The sequence below is a fragment of the Homo sapiens genome, chromosome 9 (genome assembly GCF_000001405.40).
Source record: "Homo sapiens chromosome 9, GRCh38.p14 Primary Assembly".
Taxonomy (NCBI): domain Eukaryota; kingdom Metazoa; phylum Chordata; class Mammalia; order Primates; family Hominidae; genus Homo; species Homo sapiens.
The window spans coordinates 109,850,340-109,871,276 of record NC_000009.12 but is presented as its reverse complement, the minus strand read 5'-3'; the positions used below and the strand labels follow the sequence as shown (position 1 = coordinate 109,871,276).

The window sequence follows — 20,937 nt, the reverse complement described above, 5'->3', positions numbered from 1 at the left end:
TGTATTGTGGAATTTGCTCGAAGTCCATATACAAAGTGATGATATTCCATTTTGTAGAGTTGCTCACTATATGTTCCTAAATATTGCAATAAGTAAGTCTTCTAAAAATATATATGAATGCCAAAACTACTATCTTGCATTCTATTTATTTGCTTTGACCACAGACAGGTGAATCTGTCTAAATAATTCATCTCATTGCATGAGAATAAGTGTCCACAGGCTATCTGATAATTGCCACATGTGAGAATTTTATCTTAAGACATAGAATATGAGAATTATATAAAGAATATGAAAATTATATCTTATAAACATGACAACTAACTCTAATGCAAGGAGAATATTTTTTTCTTAGAGAATATCTAGGATTTTGCAAATTAGTGAAACAAATATTGATTACTGACATATTTCCTAATATTCTCTACTTCAAGGAACTTCAATAATCACTGTGACATGTCTCCACATGATCTAAATTTTCTGGAGTCCATCACAATATATTTAGAGTAAGAGAGACAGCAATGATGGTAACTGGCATCTCACTAAATGAATTATTCCAAAGGAAACATTTCTTTCAAAGAGAACGGTGGCCTGGAAAGAGCTCGGTCTTTGAAAGCAGACAGCCCAGGAGTTTCTCTCAGGCTCCCTCATTTATAGTCTCTATGGTCTTGGGCAAATCACTTGACCTCATGAGTTTGTTCCCATAGCTGTAAGACAGAGTAATAACTGTCTTGTGGTCATTATTGAGGGTATGTGTTTAAAGTACCAGGCACGTGTTAGGCACTCAAAAAAATGGTGACTGTTACTGACGGTGGCTAACAGGCTACCAGGAGAAAACTGGCTGACTCCTTGGAGAGGCTCACAGAGAAGAAAATATAACCTCCACGAATGTACTTCCATCCAGGGGCGAGGCCACTAGGCTGCAAACTGGATGATTACAGGGAAAAAGTCCCATGCTATTCAAGTTCAGTCACCAGTTTATTGATTTAAAGTGAAACATATTCCTTCCTAGTGCCTAAAGTGATCATATCCTTCAATCAGGCAACCCTTTCCTCATATCAAAATAACTGAATAATTATAGGGAGGATGAATTCAGAACAAAGAGAGGCAAGGTCCTGAGGGAAGTTTCACTTGGGCCTCACTGTGGCCTGAGGACCCTCCTCACCTTACCACTGACCCCACCTCACCAGCATACAGAAATTCAGGACCTCCCAAAGCTGGGGGTCTCTCTGCAGATAGTACTAGACAACCACTGCCACCTTTGGAACCTCTGAGCTTTCCTTTTTCAGTATTCAAGGCAAATAACTCACCCTCATTCTGTCCACACAAGCCTTTCCCAGAGACATACAATGCACTCACCTCCACTTAGTAAGTTACCATCACCTCCAGTCCTCCCCACCTCACCCACCTCCTGCCCTGCAATAGCAAGGTTGCCATGGTGCGAGTGTTGGGTGTTCCTTCAGATAGCCAATCTCATCAACTGTGTGAGAATTTTACCAAGATAGCCATAAAGAACTAGCTGATTCCCTTGTTTCCAAGTCCTTGAGAAAAACCTCACTGCTTCCGCATACAAGACCAAGTTAATTTCTACTGTTGTTTCTGTTGATTGGATGGATGGATGGATGGATGGAAAGATGGATGAATGGATGCATAGACGAAAAATGAATATGCAATCCCAGCACTTTGGGAGGCCAAGGCGGGTGGATCACAATGTCAGGAGATCGAGACTATCCTGGCTAACATGGTGAAACCCCATCTCTACTAAAAATACCAAAAAAAAAAAAAAATTAGCTGGGCGTGGTGGCGGGCATTTGTAGTCCCAGCTACTCAGGAGGCTGAGGCAGGAGAATGGCGTGAACCTGGGAGGCGGAGCTTGCAGTGAGCTGAAATCATGCCACTGAACTCCAGCCTGAGCGACAGAGCGAGACTCCATCTCAAACAAACAAACAAATAAAAAAATGAATAGATGTAATATGAACAGAATATACTAATACTGCACTGGACATCAGCAATAAATGAGCCCTTGGTATCTTATTTGGCACCCAGGATCATGAGAAGGGAGACCAAAGAAAAAAAATCCCTTGATGTTTTGACATATGTTTATTCCCTGACTGGATTCAGGGAATACAAAAGCAAAGAACTACGTTGAGCTTAAAGTGAGGCTGTCTAGCCCAAAGCAGCCTCTCTTTTTTCATTCGGTCCTCTTATTTAAAAGTTCACCTTTAACCAGAAATTCACTGAGGTTTTAGTACATGTTGGTCTCTTACAAGCACCGTACTGAATGGACTGTACTCTGAGCCAGAGACCTAGCTCTGTGCAGATTGACCTTGAACAATTCACTCAGTTCTATTAGGTGTTTTTAAGGCCCCCTCTCTGTGAGAAGAGGATACTAATTTTAGCCCTCCATCCTCCCTCAGGAATGTTGTGGGGAAAGAGCAACAGCACCGGGGATACAGAGCAAGCTCCTACAAAGAAAGATCTGTCAATGAATTTATATGATGAACAGAGAGAAACAGGCAATATCCTTAGTATCATGCTGCTTTTCTTCCTTTTAAGCACATTTCTCTGGTTAAGGTAAATGGCAAAAACTGATAAACATGCTAAGCAGATATAGGTCATGCTGCTATTTTCAATCAGTAACTCGCTTGCTGATGGTTCTCATTTTGGGTATTCATTTAGCACAATCCTGTTTTCTAGAAAAGGACAGGAAAAGTAGCCATAAAGGTTTATCTTGTTGAAAAAAATCTAGATAATTCATACCGAGCATCACCCCGAAAGTCAGCACCACCTTCCCACCCAGTCCTCTGAGCAATGCAGCTCTGTGCAGGCAATGTCACAGCAACATGAGGTAAGCAGGAGAAGGTTTTCCTGCCAAAAAGCCCAGGAGCAGTCAAAGGCAAGCAACAACTCCCGGCTGGCCATTGGAATGTGGTCACATTATTCTCTGAACATGTGAAAAGCAACATTCTGCAACCAGTGGGGTCCTTGTGACAGTGACAGAGCTTTCTCCTGAGCTGTAATCAATTACGATGCTTAAGTGCATCATGTTTTAAAGAAAAAATAAACAGCTCTTGTGTGCTGTCTCTCTCTCTCTCTCTTTTTAGATGGTACCATGGAGACCCGTCTGAGTCAAATCATTTCAAAGCCATCTTTGACCAACTGCTTGCTCTCACAGAACACTTTCAAAATTGTTAAAGTACAAATAAAATAAATGAATAATCTGAAATACACAGTGTTGTTCTTTTATCAGATCACATCGTTTAATCTCCCTTTTCTCCATATCAAGAAAGGAAATACTAATATTTTTAAGTGAATAAAAAGAACGTTCCGTGAAATATATCTTTTGGGGTCTCTGAGCAAACACACCCAGCACCTATGCATGGGAGAAACAATCCTGAAATGCTGCCTCACCCACCCTGTGAAGTATTCTCATCCAATTTCTATATATAGCCACCACACTTCACACGCACAAACCCTCCACCCTGTCCACATGCACACTGTAATCTTATGCTTGCAGAAATTGGAATGCTGTAATAATGCCCTGAATTTGAGAAATTCACAAGAAAAGCCAAGAGATGGTTTCCTGATTGAATGAAAAAGGCTGGTTTGGTTGGCGGCAGCGCCTTCACGGCAGGGCAGGCACTGCCCAGCTCTCCGGAGTGTGATCTGCATGTCTAATAATGGAATAGGTTCCTGGGATCAGCTGCTTACCTTGGAATGCTGCAGCAGAAGTATCTGCTCGTCAAGCTGTTGTCGCTTGCCTTCTATTTCAGTCTGCCTCTTTCTTTTTTCCTTGAAAATAAAGAGACAGAGGCTGTAAGAGTGGGTGGGTGTTGGCTCCAGAAATTTTAAGGCAGAAAGCAGCAGCAGCAGCAGCACACATCTGTATAGACACTTCCAGAGACACCGGGCACACACGCAGTGTCACCTGCCCCACCGTCTCTGGGTGTGTTGCAAGCAGCAGCATTCTCCTAACATGTCTGCTGTAGGCTCGAAGAGTGGGAGAAATTCTCCTCACTCAGCCAGGCTGCAAGAATTTAATCCAAAAGAAAAGACGGTTTCTACACACACACACAGACACACACACACACACACACACACACACACACACACACACAGAGAACCATGTTCTGTGCAGTGTTAATTTGGACACAAAGAATAAAAACGTCTCAATCCAAAAGACAGAGGTTCTTACAAACTGCAAATACCATAGAATAAGACAGTGGGAAATTCTGGGTGAGATTTATTTGATCAAAATCACAGACATAAATAAGCAGACGTTGTTTCAAATTTTGTAGGACAAATCACCCAGTTGGACATACCAAACAATGCAAATGAAATGGGTTATATTTGCTGCCACTAGCCTTGGGGTAGCATTTCATGTGGGTGGGGCAGCTGAGGTTACGATAAATATGAAATCTGGAATCTGTCTGTCCGGGTCCAACTCCCAGCCCTACCACTCACTACCTGTCTGACTTCTGACAAGTTCTTCTACCTCCCTGGGTCTTGGTCTTCTCGTACATAAAGTGGAGATAATAACTGCATCCAAACCACTTAGTTGTGGAGTGGATTAAATAAGATGATGTAACGTAAAAGGCCTAGAACAATACCTGGCACAGAGTAAGTGCTCAATGTTATTTGCTGTTAGTCTTATTGTCATAATTTTACTTCTAGGTAATGCCTAGAAGCTGGTTGTAAAGGGATATATTTTCCTTGCATTTCCACTATAACCTTTCCATTAGAGTGTACCCTTCATATTTTTCTTCTCTATACTTCTCCAATGTGGACAATAAACATCATATGAATGTGATTCATGAGAACAGAAAGGTCTGCTCTCATGATAGTTTCCTTGTTAATGTTCTGTTTCCAAAGCGTACAGGAGTGGTTTGCTGAGACATTTACTATACTGGAGCATTTTCGTTTACTCACATATGCAGGGAGAAACTTATTAGATAAGACATAATGGCATTTGACAATACAACAGCCAAATCCTAGGGACAACAACAATGCGGAAGCCTGGCTGCTGTGCTCAGTGTTAACGGAAGCTTTTATTTTATGTAGTCGCTATGTTTCCGGGGCTATGATTGTACCATTGCTATTCAAATCAATGTAATAATAATGTGTATTACAACCAAGGTTTTCTGTGCAATGCCCAGACCTTACAAAATATTAGCTCATAATCTTAAGCCACTAGAATATGATATCTAAGTCACGGATATAATCTCCCTGACAAAGTAAGACACATGAATATTTTAGGAATGTAGTACCATTTACCAAAGAACTCCAATCAATGGTGCATAATTGATGTTACTTAATCCCAGAGTGTGTGCAAGACCATAAAATATATGACAGTGGATGGGAAAAGTGAGGCACAGTGGGAACAGCCCACATCCACCATCTCAGAGATGGCACATGATAAAGCTAGGGCTTCCTGGTCCAGCTGCTATCTCTACATTCTAGAATCTCTCAAGAGTAGACTTACTGGACTTTGTCAGTCATTCCCACTGGCTATCAAGATATGTAGTTGTCCTACATTTAAATACAGAACCAAGATGTATGTCATAGATATGAGAGGCTGATGACTCAAGATTTCCACAAATATTAATTGAGTGTCATGTGTTCTCATTACATGTCTTGTCATTTCCAAACCATTCCCAGGCTTTCCCACAGCTGTGACTTTGTTCCATCAGAAAGTCCTCACTCCAGAGTTGCCCATCATCATATTGGTGAACCATTCTCTGAGCAGAAGAAAACTTACCAGGCAGTATGGGCAGTGGACCTTTACATGCTCAAGCAGCAGGCTCATTGGTGATCACTGTAACTGACATGGTCATGAAGGATGTAGAGTTCATGTTAGTCCTTTAAGAATGGGTAGGATTTAGGGCCGGGCACACAGTGGCTCATACCTGTAATCCCAGCACTTTGGGAGGCTGAGGTGGGTGGATCACCCGAGGTCACGAGTTTGAGACTAGCCTAGCCAACATGGCGAAACCCCATCTATACTAAAAATATAAAAATTGGCCAGGTGTGGTGGTACATGCCTGTAATCCCAGATACTTGGGAGGCTAAGGCAGGAGAATCACTTGAACCCAGTGGGTAGAGGTTGCCATGAGCCAAGATCACACCACTGCACTCCAGCCTGGGCGACAGAGTGAGACTCTGTCTCAAAAAAAAAAAAAAAAAAAAGGAATGAGTAGGATTTAGGTAGATACAAATGGGCAATACATTCCAAGCAAAAGGAACTAGGTGAACAAGGGTAGAAATGCACTGCATATTCCAGGGACAATGAGGAGGAAAATCTAACTGGTTGTAGGGCTTGCCTTTAGGAACAGAGATCAATGACTCAACAGATTGGCTAGGACTATACCATGGAGGGCCATGAAGTTTAGATTTTATTGCATGGACAATGCAATGTCATTGCAGGGTTCTAAGCTACAGAATGATATGGTGAAATGGCATTTTAGGAACATTAATCTGGCATTCATACATAAGGTGGATTAATAGGGGCTGATACACTTTTCCTATAAAACAAAAGTAAATATTTTAGATTTTGTGGGACATACAGTCTCTGTCGCAACTACTGAATGCTACCATTGTAGTTCAAAAACAGTCCTGGACAATATTTAAATGAATGAGTGTGGCTGTGTTCTAATAAAACTTTATTTGCAAACACAGGTAGTGGGCCAGATTTGGCCCACGGGTCCTAGTTTGCTGACCTGTGGATTCAAATATCATTTAAGTGCCTTAGGAGGATGTTCCATTCACCTGGTTGTGCAGTAAGGATGGATGAACTAACAAGCCTCCTAGCTTAGAGCTGTACCAATCAGAATGGAAAGAGAAGGACAAATGGAAGAAACAGAATTGATGAGACTCAAAACTAATAGGATCTGGGGGGTTAGGCAAAGTGGTGTTTTGGCTTTTAGTCACACGGACCAGAAGAGCGCTGGTGCAGGAAGGGGTAACAGTGGGAAAGCAGTAAGGCTGAGCCCATTTGTGCTGTAGTCATACATTTCCCCTGAGGAAACTCCTTATTGGGTTAGAATTTGGAACTAAGCAGTTGTTAGCACATACAACCAGGCAGCAGCATTAGCATGTTTACAACTGCATTCTAACTGATGACCCTGGGCCTGGCCCCATGACAAGGACCCACTGTGCATCCACAGCTATTTCAGGATTCTTTGACTAGCTGAGCTCCCTTTCACAGTGAATTTTTTTTTTTTTTGAGACAGAGTCTCAGTCTGTTGTCACAGTCTCAGCTCACTGCAACCTCTGCTTCCTGAGTTCAAGCAATTTCCCTGTGTCAGCCTCCCGAGTAGCTGGGATTACAGGTGTGTGTCACCACGCTTGGCTAATATTTGTATTTTTACTAGAGATGGGGTTTTGCCATGTTGGCCAGGCTGGTCTCAAATTCCTGACCTCAGGTGATCCACCCACCTCAGTCTCCCAAAGTGCTGGAATTATAGGTGTTAGCCTCCGAACCCAGCCCATAGTGATGGTCTTAAAGTCACTTCTAGGTGGACAAGAGGCAACCAGCCTACGCTCAGAATTAGATATGAGTCAAACGACAACAAGTTTGCATAGGACACCATTAAGGAACTCACTTGCAGTTTCTGATACTTGTTTGATGGCTGAGGTCTGAGCTGTGCTCCTCACCGGGATAGCCCACTGGTTTCCAGATTTCTCCTTCCCTTAACCAGGACAAAACCAGTAACTCTTCGGGCCTTCATTCTCATCCACTCTACAACTCTACCTCTCCTTTGAGCTGCAGATCCCTATACTGAACTGCCAACTATTCATAGTCACTCCCCCAAACTCAAACACATGCAGTCACCATCTCAAGCAATCCCCCACCCTCTACCTTCACACCTGTTCCTTCTTCTATGTTTCATCTCAGCAAATGACACTACTTAAGTCAGAAATCTAAGTCATCCTAGACACTTACTTTCTTGAAAGACCAAGTCATGTTGATTCTGCTGGCCAGTTTCCACATCTTTTGCTTCCCCACTATAACCTTGAGTATTGCCTTAACCCTCCTTCCTTCATCTCCTACCTGGACATGGAGACTATTCCATATTAGCATCTTTAGCACATTACAGAACTTATCTCCAGCTGGATTACTGTAGTGGTTTCCTTATTAGTCTCCCTGCATCCATTCTTGGCTTCTCCAACTCAATCTCCACACTGCTGCCAGAGTGATATTCTAAAATGGAAATCTGACCACCTCCGACCCTTGCCTAAAACCAAGGATGTCTCCCCATTGCCTACAGTGCAAAGAGCAGGTTCCCTAGCATAGCCAGTGAGGCTCCTGTCTATTTCACAGCTTCATCTCAAGCCATGGCCCCCTACCATGATCCAACCTCAAAGACTACTTGCAGTCTCCTGATCTTCCCGGCTGGTTCATGTCCTCTTAGTTTTGTTCTTATTGCTTCCTCTAACAATAATCGATGTGCACTGCTGCTTCATTTGACAAAAAACAATTCATCTATGATGGCACAGTTTAAATATCCATGAAGCTTTAATGAACATCTGTCAATTTTGATCTGCCTAGTCTTCTTTCCTTTGGGGAAACACATCTACCCTCACTGTAAATGGCTCTGGTGGAAATGCCAGTCATGGTTAGCTCATTCCTGCCACTAGGACTTGTTTGTGAGCCAGGTTAGGCCAATCATGCTACCTCGTTTCTTTGCAATAGCTATTGATCCAAGGGATAGCTAAGTGAACTGAGAAACACCAGTTAGAGACATTTCTAGGGACAGACACACGGATACCAGGAGAGAAGTGAAAAAACATACCACTAGGATTAAGCTGAGATGATGTACTTCTGAGTAGCAATTTTTCCAAGTCACATAAAAGAAATGCATCTACATTGAAGAAAATAAAGTCAACATGCAGAGGGAGGCAGAGTTGAAAGAGAAAAAAGGGTCCTACTACATTGTTTGAGTCCCAGATCTAGTCATGCATGAAGCCAGAACCATCCCCAGGCTTCCTAAATTATATACACTAATAAATCTCCCATTTTCTTAAGCTAGTTTGAGTGATGTTTCTACCACTTACAACTCAAAGAGTACTGACAAATACAGAAGATTTTTCTGTTCCCTCCAAATAGATTGCATCACTCCCTCCTTTCTCTTCCCTCCCCACAGGCTGTGGATTTTTCTACATTAGACCTCAAGCACTGTAGCACTTTATACACTTAACTATTTACACATCTTCTCTCTCTAACAAACTATGGGCTCCTTGAGGACAAGGATCTTGGCTGACACATCTCTAAAGCCTAGAATATTGTATGATGAATACATGTAATTTATGCTTACTGAGTATCTCTGAGTGTACTATCCTCTTTTTTCTCTCTTCCACTTGTGTTCCTGTTTGTCCATATCCCTCATTCAAATGAATTACGAATTTGTACTCATGACTTCAATAGAAGCAAAATACATTATTAAAAACACATTGGCCATCAGTCCATAAAACCAGAAGTGTCCTAATGCTAAAGACATTAACCCACATGAAATAAATTACTGTTGCTATGCATATGAGGAAAGAGTTGAAAAGGCTAATTCTGGGAAAGAATCATGGAAAGCTTATTCTGGGGAGAAAGGCGGGGGAAGTGGAAATTCCAGGGAAAAGCATAATGAGCTGACAGTAGCAACCATTCGGGGCAGTGTGCCTCAAGAGACATCTGGAATGACGTGATCTCAATCCATTAGAAAGACTTCCAGATTCCTCCACTATCTGGGAAGGCTAACAAGCCACTTTCATTCACTTTCTATAAATTATATATTTTCCTGGCAAGTATTTTCTGGAAGGATTATAACATGATAGAACATGTTATAATCATAACATGTTCGTAACATAACACGTAAACTATTGTTAAAGAGCACCCGTAGAGAATGAAGCACATTCTGTTCAATAAATATGATGAGAAGACAGACATGGCAAGCACCTGTTGTTAGGAAAGCCTATTTCCACCTTTTTGCTCCTTGAGACTCCCTCTTCTCTCCTGCTGACTGTGCTGCAACTGGAGCACTAGGAGATGCCAGGCTGTGGCTGTGGACAAGGTGGGTGTCCCAACTGAGTGTGTGAGAAACAGGGAGACAGGGAAAGAGGCTAAGCAGGGAAGGTAGTCAGAAGCAGAAATAGGGTGTTTCCTTTCCTCCACTGAACCCCCATTCTAGCTTGCGCTGATACCTCGCGCCCCAGGGCACAGCAGTGGGAAGGGACCAGAAGACCTACTCAAGGCCCTCTTGCCATCATGAGATCACAGAATTTAGACAAGAGGAGGGTAAAGAAAATATATTAAATTGTAAACGTTGCAATCTTTATTCTTTCTATTGCTAGATGAAGATAATTCAGCTTTGACTTCCTTCCATGTGAGCTAAAGGGAATCTTGTTTCCTTGCCCCAAACCTTTTAAGTGACTTTTTGCCAGAGGATTCCTAGGCTTTTGAAATGAAGAATCAGAGAAAGAGGTAAAGTACTGAAAAACTGCGAGAAACAGACTGTTTTATATAGTTGCACTTGGAAAGGGAATGGGTGGGGATGCTATTTAGGGGGAAAAATGATCGAGAAAAGGAAAGAAGAGATGAAGAAGTAAAGCACTGAAAGGGGTCAGAGACAGTTTAAAGTTCAAGAGTTTAAAATGAAAAGGCTGAGATATTAAGGCCAGGAAATCAGGAAAAGAGAATCTTGAGATATTTTACTGTGGCTTATAAAATGAATCCCCTCTGATGTTCTCCAGAAGATTCCAGTAAGGATACTGAAATTACTTTGGCCAACTAGCCTGTGTTCCTTTGAATATAACTTCATGCTGAAACTGGATTGCCAGGATACCTAGGTTTTATCTGGGTTACACCAAGAAATAAGGTGACATTTTGAGAATTAAATTATGAAAAATCAACTTGCAAGTGGGGACCCAACAAGCTTTTTCTATTAAGAAATCACAATGTCATCTCAGACATGGTTGGGTTATAATTACCTTTCTAACACTACTGCAGATTCAATGCTATTTATACATCTGAGGGGAAAAAAAAGAAAAATAGTCTGTCTAAAAACTGAAAACCTGAGTAATCAAGCATAAAAAAAATTGAAGAGGTGCTCACTCAGCTTTGTCCAATCGCCTGTCCAGCTAACAAGTAATGCTGAGTTTGCTCAGCAGACACATCCCTGTTCGAGATCAGTTATCTCATCTCAACACCATCAGATATTAAAACTCACTCTCCTGGCTCTGTCTTCAAGATCACCAATCATAATCCTGATTTCTATTCAGGCTTCCTATGTAGTTAGCTAAATGGAGAGATGGTACTTGCTAAGACCCCTGCAGTGTCCATCCACTGAAAAATAAATAGACACTTGGGTTTGTAGATAAGTAGCTGAAAGCTAAGTTGGCATGTGATTTTCTGATCCTACAAAACTAAGAAACAGAACTCAGAGCCATTTTAAATGACAGCCTTAAAAGGCTTGGTCAGAAGAACAAGTAAGGTAGGTTTTCTACATTGTTCTGCCTAGCCATGTACCCATTTAACCCGCAACATCACCAGGTGAAGTGGATAATTCCACAACTCTATTTATTCCTCATCCCTTAGTTTGGACCAGCATTTCCATCTACATAACTTCTCTTTTCTTCAACTGATTATTTGGACTTGAGCTTGCCATCTATCTGTAAAAGAAGGAACTGCCAGCTTTGTATTGTTTTCTGTAGTTATTTACTTTTAATTGTTTTATTGACATATGATATTTGTACACATTTGTTGGGTACCTGTAATATTTTGTTACATGCATAGGATGTATAATAACCAGGGTGTTCAGGACATCCACCATCTCGTGTATTTATCATTTCTTTGTGTTGGGAACATTTTTAGTCCTCTCTTCCAGCTATGTTAAAATCTAAAATATATTGTTGTTAACTAAAGTCACCTTACTGTGCTATCCAACCTTAGATCTTATTCCTTCTACCTAACTGTATAATTGTACCCATTAACCAACCTCTCTCATCCTCCACTACACACACTCCCTTCTCCACTTCTTGTAACTTATTATTCTACTTTCTACCTTCATGTTTCATTTGTAATAGAAACAATATGGTCAAGAGAATTTTTAAAAGAAAAAGAAGACATTGATTAGTTCGAGCCTCAATACTGGATTTTAGAAGGGGTAATTTAACACCCAAAACCTTAAGAAACATCCCATAGAATTTAGATGCAATATTATCATTAATTTCACCCAACAGTTAATATATCTGGCCTATTAGTGCCAAGTCAAATGCACAACACAGCAGAGTTTCCATTTAGGGTCCTTTATAGATACTTTATAGCCCATATGGGTTATATCTTAAGTCTGTTTTTTAAGGTCTGCCCACGGTGTGACCCTTTAAGTAATTATTTAACCATAGAGCTATACTTTTGCTTTGATGGTCATAACATCAAATTCTTTGCTAGGAGTGCTTCACTTTGGTTTCCTCTAAAGACCAAGAAGGGAAGTGGTCTGATATGGGCTCTGATGAGAAAGTAAGACCCGCTTTATGACACCACATTGATAAGCCCCTTGTGGTGGAAAAATCCAGCACTTTCTGTACAGGTAGGCAGAATGGTAGAGGACTCTGAAAAAGTCCCAAATGGCAGGAATAACAGAATCAAACTCTCCCGAAGAATGTGATCTCCATCTCATCCCTCTCCGTGTGTTGCCTTATTCCCACCATGAAGTCTCGTGAGCAGAGTCAGGAGATCTCGTATCAGGTAGGGGCTCTGCCACGAACTCCCTGAGTGACTTAGACAAGTCCCTTATTGTTTCTGGGCCTTGGATCCCCAGCCTGTGAAATGAGTAGGTTGGGCCAGCTTAGCTCTAAGTTTCCTCCAGCATCACTAACATTCCACAGTGCTAAGGAGAACAACGACTTCACACGTTCCAGACTGTCACATGTGCCCTTCCTGAGTTATAAAGTAATGCTAGCAAACATTTACATAGTGGTCACTGTGTGCCAGGCACTGTTTTGTGTGATTTAACATGTTTAATCTTCACAACAACCTAATGAGTTAGGTACTATCATTATCCCCATTTTACAGAGGAGAAAACTGAGGCACAGGAAGATAAAGAGACAGGGTCACATGGCTAGTAAGCATCAAACAATTGGAACTCCGTCTGAAATACTGAAATAGAACTACCTGCAAAATGCTACTGCAGGATTGAAATGAGATACAGCAAAGATGGAACTAACACATCACCTGGTAGAGTGCAGGGACTTAATAAATGAAGGTGCTTCCTTTCTACCTAGCACGAAGTTTTTGGCTTAGGATTTTGTCTAAACAACTGCAATTTACTCATGCAACAACAATTCAGTTGTGTAGTGGTTGAACCTAATAATCCCAATGATGGTAGTGGTATAAACCATAATGGTAAGAATAATAATGGCAACTGAGTTTATTGATGCCTTGCTATGTCAGGCATTATAGTAAGAATTGCCCCGCAGTTTTTCACTTAATCCTCATCACACTTTGAGGTAGATACTTTAAAATCTTCCATTTTATGGATGAAACAACCTAAACTTAGCTACTGTAAGGGAAGTGCCCTTGAGCTAAGAAGTGGCCAAACAGGGGTTGAAACTTAAACAGTCTCACTCCAGAGTACTTTACCATGAAAAGAGACATGTTCAGAGCTACTAGCTTTTGTTTGGCTCTGGGTGAATTCCACTCTGGACACATGAAACCTATTACACTGCCACCTCCACATTTATCTGCCAAAAGCCATCCAGGGCAAATGAGCTGTTGAAAATGCAAAACATCTTGATGTCAAATCCCTCCAATCTCCAAAAAAGGAGGCCTCTTACATTTGTGAGCATTTCTCAATTTCAAACAAAAATAGGTCAAGGCTGTGTTGGAACCTTCAGCAATGTCTGGTGAACCAATATATTCATTTCTTTCAATCCCTGTAGAAGACATTTACATAGAAATCGAATAGTCTAATGAAAAGAGCAAATGCAAAATATTTCTCTCCCATTTTAACTTTTCATCTGAAAGGAACTACTGCAGATGAGGCAGCAGTTGGGAAGGTTCTCAATTTACCAAGAATGGAGGAGATGCTCTAAATCCAGGATCTCTGGATATCAGAATATGGCTCCCTAAAGTTGGAGGACAGGAGGAGGAAGGGGCAGAAGGATCCACTGGGTTGATAGGCCTGTCTTAGGAAGACGTGCCAGGCCTGGAGGCAGTCTCAGGGCAGGAAGCGGGGGTGGACACTGCATGGACCTCACAGTAAGCAGCAGTCCCATTGGCTGCTCGCAGTTCTCAGCACCGCAGGCCACAGAACAGGGGAGGGGATGGGGCACAACTGAACATAGCTGTCGTGGTTGGAAATACAAAACAAGATAGTGTGCACAAAAATAGAAAGAGAACACAATGTGCAGCATTCTGATGACAACAAAGGAACGCAAACTCCAAGAAATTAGCATAATTCCAAACAGAGACATACACTCCTTTTCTGACTTTGACAAATCATGTTTTTGTTTGTTTCTTAGATGCCAGTATCTGGTGAACATTTCTGATCTATATTCATTTTTTAATATAGAAAAGTATAAAGAAGGAAACACCAATTGTCTATAATCTCCCTGCCTAGATAAATGGAGTAAGCATTACAAAACATAAATAAAAGTAATAAACATGCAGGGTAGAAAAATTCACACCATCCACACAGGAATAAAATGAACATTTGACTTTCTCTTCACCTCATCCCTACCAGCTTTGTTCCTTCAGGCAACAATTCCTATTAGTCCTTTATGCATCCTACAGGAAAAAATGGATACACCAACATAAGTTGGGGTCTTTTATTCTTAACACAAAAGACCTGCCCTTCAGCTTACTTTCTTCACTTCGTGATGTATCTTAGAGATTTTACTATTTCATTCAGCACATGGAATCCCACCACATTCTTTGCAACTACGGCATGGCGATTCACAGATGTAGCTTAACTTACTTTAGCAGTCTGCTGCTAATAGATAATTTAGGTGGTTCTCAGTGCTTTGTTTGCAATTATAGACGGGACTGCAATGAATCTTCCTCTATGTTCATCTTAGACGTACTTTTGTGATTCCATACATAGGGTGGATTTCTACCAGCAGAACTGCTAAGTCAAGGATTTGAACACATAAAACTCTAATAGGGACAAATTGCTCTCCAAAAAACAGTTTCTCAGGGTTTTAAATGATACAATTGTGAGCAGAAAATAAACTCAACCACCTAATAAGAGTTTTGACAGTTTTTCCTCTTGTTAGCTATATCTTTAGGGCCCAAGGGGGTTTTAAATGAAAGAAACTACCACTTTGTTAATAATTGCAATGTTTTAAAAACATATTGGGGTAATTTGTCCTTATCATAGACTATTACTCTATCTTTTCAGGTTAAAAAAATGATAATTTTCTACCTTAAGAACAGAAGTCTATTATAATTCCATCAGTCTCCCATGAAGAATCAACACTGTACTTCCCTTCTTTGCACTGCTGATGTTAGAATTACTGCATAGCCAAGTTGTGCCCACTTGTCTATAAGGAAAGAGGATTTAATCCTTTTGTGGTCATTGCTGTCCTCCAATGGTTTAAAAGTAGAAAATTTTTCATCCACCAAAACAATTTCTAGATGGACTCAGGCAATGTAAAAAGTGAAAACATGAGAAAATATAGTGATTGTCTGACTTTAGGATGGAAGAGGACTTTAAAAACATAACGCATAGAAAGAAACCACAAAGCACAAAACTGACGAACTTCATTACACCCTCCCCAAGGGCAGAGACCATGTCTCTCATTCATGGTTTCTCTCTCTTGCCTAGAATCATGCCTAACACATACTGGGCCTGAATCAGTATTTATTGATAATGAATGACTGAAAATGTATAAATAAAACACAGCCATTAAAGATAAATTCTTTTAAGGCTGGGAGCAGTGGCTCATGCCTGTAATCCCAGTACTTTGGGAGGCCAAGACGGGCAGATTGCTTGAGCTCAGGAGTTCGAGACCAGCCTGGGCAACATGGTGAAACCCCATCTCTACAAAAAATGCAAAAATTAGCCAGTCATGGTAGCACATGCCTGTAATCCCAACTACTCAGGAGGCTGAAATGGAAGGATTGCTTAAGCCTGGGAAGCGGAGGTTGCAGTGAGCTGAGATTGTGCCACTGCACTCCAGCCTGGGGACACAGTGAGACCCTGTTTCCCCCACCCCAAAAAAAGGGGGGGGCACCAGGCATGGTGGCTCACGCCTGTAATCCCAGTACTTTGGGGGGCCGAGGCGGGCAGATCACAAGGTCTGGAGATGAAGACCATCCTTACCAACCTGTGAAACCCTGTCCCTACTAAAATGCAAAAAATTAGCCAGGCGTGGTGGCACACACCTGTAGTCCCAGCTACTCAGGAGGCTGAGGTAGGGGAATCACTTGAACCTGGGAGGCAGAAGTTGCAGTGAGCCGAGATTGTGCCACTGCACTCCAGCCTGATGATAGAGCAAGACTCCATCTAAAAAAAAAAAAAAAAAAAAAAAAAAAGATACATTCTTTTAAAAACTGACTACAGAATAGCATGTTCAGTATTATATCATTTTTATAAAAAGTAAATGCATGTGTACGCACATGCATATAAATGATCATGCTACAGGATAGCATCTATCCTCTGCATACATGCTAAATATCAACATAGGTTGTATCTAGATGGTAGGATTTGGAATGCTTTCATCTTTGCTCTTTATATCCTTCTGTGTTTTCTAGTATTTCTATGTGAACCCACCCTATTAGGTAGGCTAACATGGAAAATGTAATATACCAAGCTCAGATTAAAGCAAAGCTACTCCTTAGACACCCTGATCCTCAGCATCTTCTGAGAGAATAACCATCACCAGTGACAGTTGCCTGTGGCCAGAGGGATGTTTCTGAGAGGCTCGGAATAGGAACCCTTGCATATTTTGTAGTTTAAACCTAAATAGATATGTTTCCTAATTCAGAATCCTCAGCTGATGATGGCAAATCCAGAGCTCTTGCTCAATGCTACCTCTTCCTGCCCTTCTTCTTATGTCTCCTCTTTGGTGGTGACCAAAGTCTAAGACGATGCCCCCAGGGACAGGGAAGTGGCTCTGATCTGCTGGTAGTGACCCTGGTGGTTCAGCAGGGAACAAGGGAAAGGTACTGCTTCTCACTGAGGACAGCAAATTTCTAGTAAAGACGTACTTTAGGATAAGGTAATTAAATAAGCAAGACAAAAGATTGCTGCTGGTATAGGGACAGCTCCAAGTGTCCTGCCAGCACCATGTGCTTGGCTGAGCCCTGCTCTAGTCCTAGAAGACTAAGAAGAGCCTCATAGGGTTGTTTGAGCCAGTGAGAGCCCACCTAGGATGCTCCAGTAGGAAGCTCCAGTTAAAGCAAGAATCAGCACCAAGTTCAGAGAAGCCAAGCCCCAAACAGCAGAGCTCAGCTTTAGGTCAAGAACAAATACAAAAGATTACAGTTTAAAAACTGTAATACCCAGTGTCAAGTATAGTGAGGGGAAACTGACTTTTTATTCCCTGCTGGTGGTGGTAGAATCTTTCTAGAGGATAATTTGGCAGTCATATAGAATAGCAAACACTTTCAAGTTTATATGCGATTTGAACAACACATTTCACTTCTAGGAATTTATTCTAAAGGGGAAATTATGCCAATGAGCAGTGCTTTTACTTAATGATATTTACTGCAGCATTGCTTTTAAAAAAGAGAGAGACTTAAGTATTAAACCACAGGTGTTTGGTTAAATAATCTATGATATATCTGCACCATTATGCAGTCATTGCAAATGAAGCTGTAGATTACATGAAATAGAAAGATATTCTCAATATAGTCAGTTTAAAAAGCAAAGAGTATGCTCAGTATAATCTCACTTTTATAAGAAAAAATACAGTTATGGAAAAGATTGGAAAGCTATACACTGAAATGCCAAAGGTTTTGTCACTAGCAATATAACTTGAGATGAGAGGTGCTGATAATTGCTGCTAACAGCATCATCCTAATAGTACTTGTGAAAAGGTACTGGGGGTGGGAGTGTTTACAGGTGCCACGCGCAGTTCTGAGTGCTTTAAATGAACTACCTCATCAACCCTCACTATAACCCTGGGGGGAAGCTTCTATTATCCCTCCATTACAGATGAGGACACTGAGGCTGAGAGAGGTTAGGTAACTTGCCCCTAGATCCCCCAGTTATGAAGTGTTAAGACCAGAATTCAAAGCTGTCCGTCTGGCAACTGGGACCTAATTAAACCAAAGGGCTTTTGCACAGCAAAAGGAAACTACCAACAGAGTAAACAGACAACCTACAGAATGGGAGAAAATATCTGCAAACCATGCATCTGACAAAAGACTAATATCCAGAACCTATAGGAACTGAAACAAATTGACAAGTAAAAAACAACCCCATTAAAAAGTGAGCAAGGGACATGAACAGACACTTTTCAAAAGACATACAAGCAGCCAACAAACATATGAAAAAATGCTCTACACCACTATTCATCAGAGAGATGCAAACCAAAACCACAATGAGATACCAACTCACTCCAGTCAGAATGGCTACTATTAAAACGTCAAAAAACAACAGATGTCGGTGAGGTTGCAGAGAAAAGGGAACATTTATACTCTGTTTTTGGGAGTGCAAATTAGTTCAGGCCCTGTGGAAAGTAGTTTGGAGATTTCTCAAAGAACTGAAAACAGAATTGCCACTGGACTCTGCAATCCTATTACTGATATATACCCAAAGGATAAGTCATACTATCAAAAGGGCATGTACTCGTATGTTCATCACAGCACTATTCACAGGAACAAAGACATGAAATCAACCGGGTGCCCATCAACAGTGTATTGGATAAAGAAAATGTGGTACATATACACCATGGAATACTACACAGCCATAAAAAAGAATGAAATCATGTTCTTTGCAGCAACATGGACTTGTAAGTGGGAGCTAAACATTGGGTACACACAGACACAAAGGTGGGAACAACAGACACTGGGCATTCCAAAAGGAGGGAGGAAGGGATGGGATCAAGGGTTGAAAAACTACCTATCAGGTACTATGTTCATGGCTTGGGTGACAGGATTATTAGATGCCTAAACCTCAGCATCACACAATATACTCATGTAACAAATCTGCACATGTACCACCTGAATCTAAAATAAAATATAAATAAATAAATATTCTTTAATTATTTTTTTTTTAAAAGCTGATCATCTGGCTTCAGAGTTTGTGCTCAGAACCACTTTGTTTTACCTATTGATGGGGAACCAGGTAGGATTAAGTCTTGACTTCAGTGGTTTCCATGTTGCTTTCTCGTGGCTAGTTCTGTTGCTTGCCATCACGTATAGCAGCATTTTAAGGAAGTGAACAAAGACCACACAGCTTTTTACCCACTAATAGAGGTGACCCAGTTAAAGTACTTAGTCCTTTAATTTCAGGATGCTCAAGTTAGCAAACCGACAATGACTGACTGCTTTGGGGGTTTACTTTTCTTAACCACCAGGGTCCAGGCCACTTAGAAGTGAGTCAGAAGACAGCAGGGGAACTTCATTTACTGGTGTGATTATACTCCATCATCACTGGCTTTGACTGTGATCATGATGGTGAAGTTCAGGAGAAGTGCACCATCATCTTCATGCAGGCAGGTTGGTCTTTATCATGCATCAAAAGTGGGGAGCAGTCCTTCCATGGTACTTTGCTTCAGTGTGGTACTTTGCTTCCCTTTGGTATCTATCACCAGGTAGATAACATGTGTATCTCTCTTCACTGTAGTCTGGAGGAAGATTCAAGACCTCTGGCTATTAATACCATGTAAGTGGTGCCCTGACCCCATTATTTCTAATGTCTGGCTTCCCATCTCATCCAGTTCTTAACATGCACGAGCCAGTTAGATGCCTCCACATCTTGGCCTCAATTTTCCCCACAGTGCTCAACCCTGGAAGACCATTAAGATCACCTGAGGATCATCAAAAAGCACCAAGCCCAGGCCTCACCTTCAGAGATTTTGATCTTATTGGTCTGGGCACTCAAGGCTGTAAACACTACCAGGTAGTGTTTTTTTTTTTTTGTTGTTGTTGTTGTTGTTGTTGTTGTTGTTGTTGAGACGGAGTCTCCCTCTGTTGCCCAGGCTGGAGTGCAGTGGCGCTATCTCGGCTCACTGCAAGCTCTGCCTCCCGGGTTCATGCCATTCTCCTGCCTCATCCTCCCAAGCAGCTGGGACTACAGGTGCCCGCCACCATGCCTGGCTAATTTTTTGTATTTTCAGTAGAGATGGGGTTTCACCGTGTTAGCCAGGATGGTCTTGATCTCCTGACCTCGTGATCCGCCCGCCTCGGCCTCCTAAAGTGCTGGGATTACAGGTGTGAGCCACCACGCCCGGCCACTACCAGGTAGTTTTAATGTCAGTCAAGGTGGAAGATCACTGCAGGGCACATGCAATCTCATGGTCCAGGCTGATAGCATTTGCTGCTGCTTAAGCTTGTTTGAGCTCTTTCTTTCTCAGTCTGAAATAAACTATTTGGTAAATTTTGTTAAAAGCCTCAGCATTGGGTCAGCCACTTTTCTATTTTTGCAGTTAAATCCTTGCTTTCTTTGCTCTTCAAAGTCTGGGCTTTAGCCACAAGTCAATGATATTTTTGACTTAGGGCAAGTAGAGCTTGACTCTACCTAGCATGTAGCTCTCAAGGGTCAATGCTGCTCCCTTGTTGCAGTATTTCTCATCCTCACCAGCTGACATCTGATTTCTCTTCCCTTCCTTTCAGGCCCCTTCTCTTAGGATTACACTACTATTTTCAACCCAAGGACATGGGTGATAAACTAGGTCAAAAGGGACGAAGTTGGGGGTTGGATCTCAGAACCACAGAAAACACCACCAAGACAGGTCAAACCAAATCTGGCTTTGAACTAGGATAAATAAGTTTTGTGCTTCAAAAATGTG

General features: G+C 41.5%; 1 protein-coding gene across 14 annotated transcripts in view; it reads right to left on the bottom strand.

Moving 5' to 3' along the window:
• PALM2AKAP2 (PALM2 and AKAP2 fusion) overlaps nucleotides 1–20,937 on the bottom strand; it is a 531,726-nt gene that overhangs the window by 301,236 nt on the left and 209,553 nt on the right. For all 14 annotated transcript variants that reach the window (NM_001037293.3, XM_047423410.1, XM_047423411.1 and 11 more), the window contains one exon: nucleotides 3,706–3,786. In NM_001037293.3, coding sequence (NP_001032370.1) covers nucleotides 3,706–3,786 — 81 coding nt within the window. The remainder of the gene's footprint in view (nucleotides 1–3,705; nucleotides 3,787–20,937) is intronic.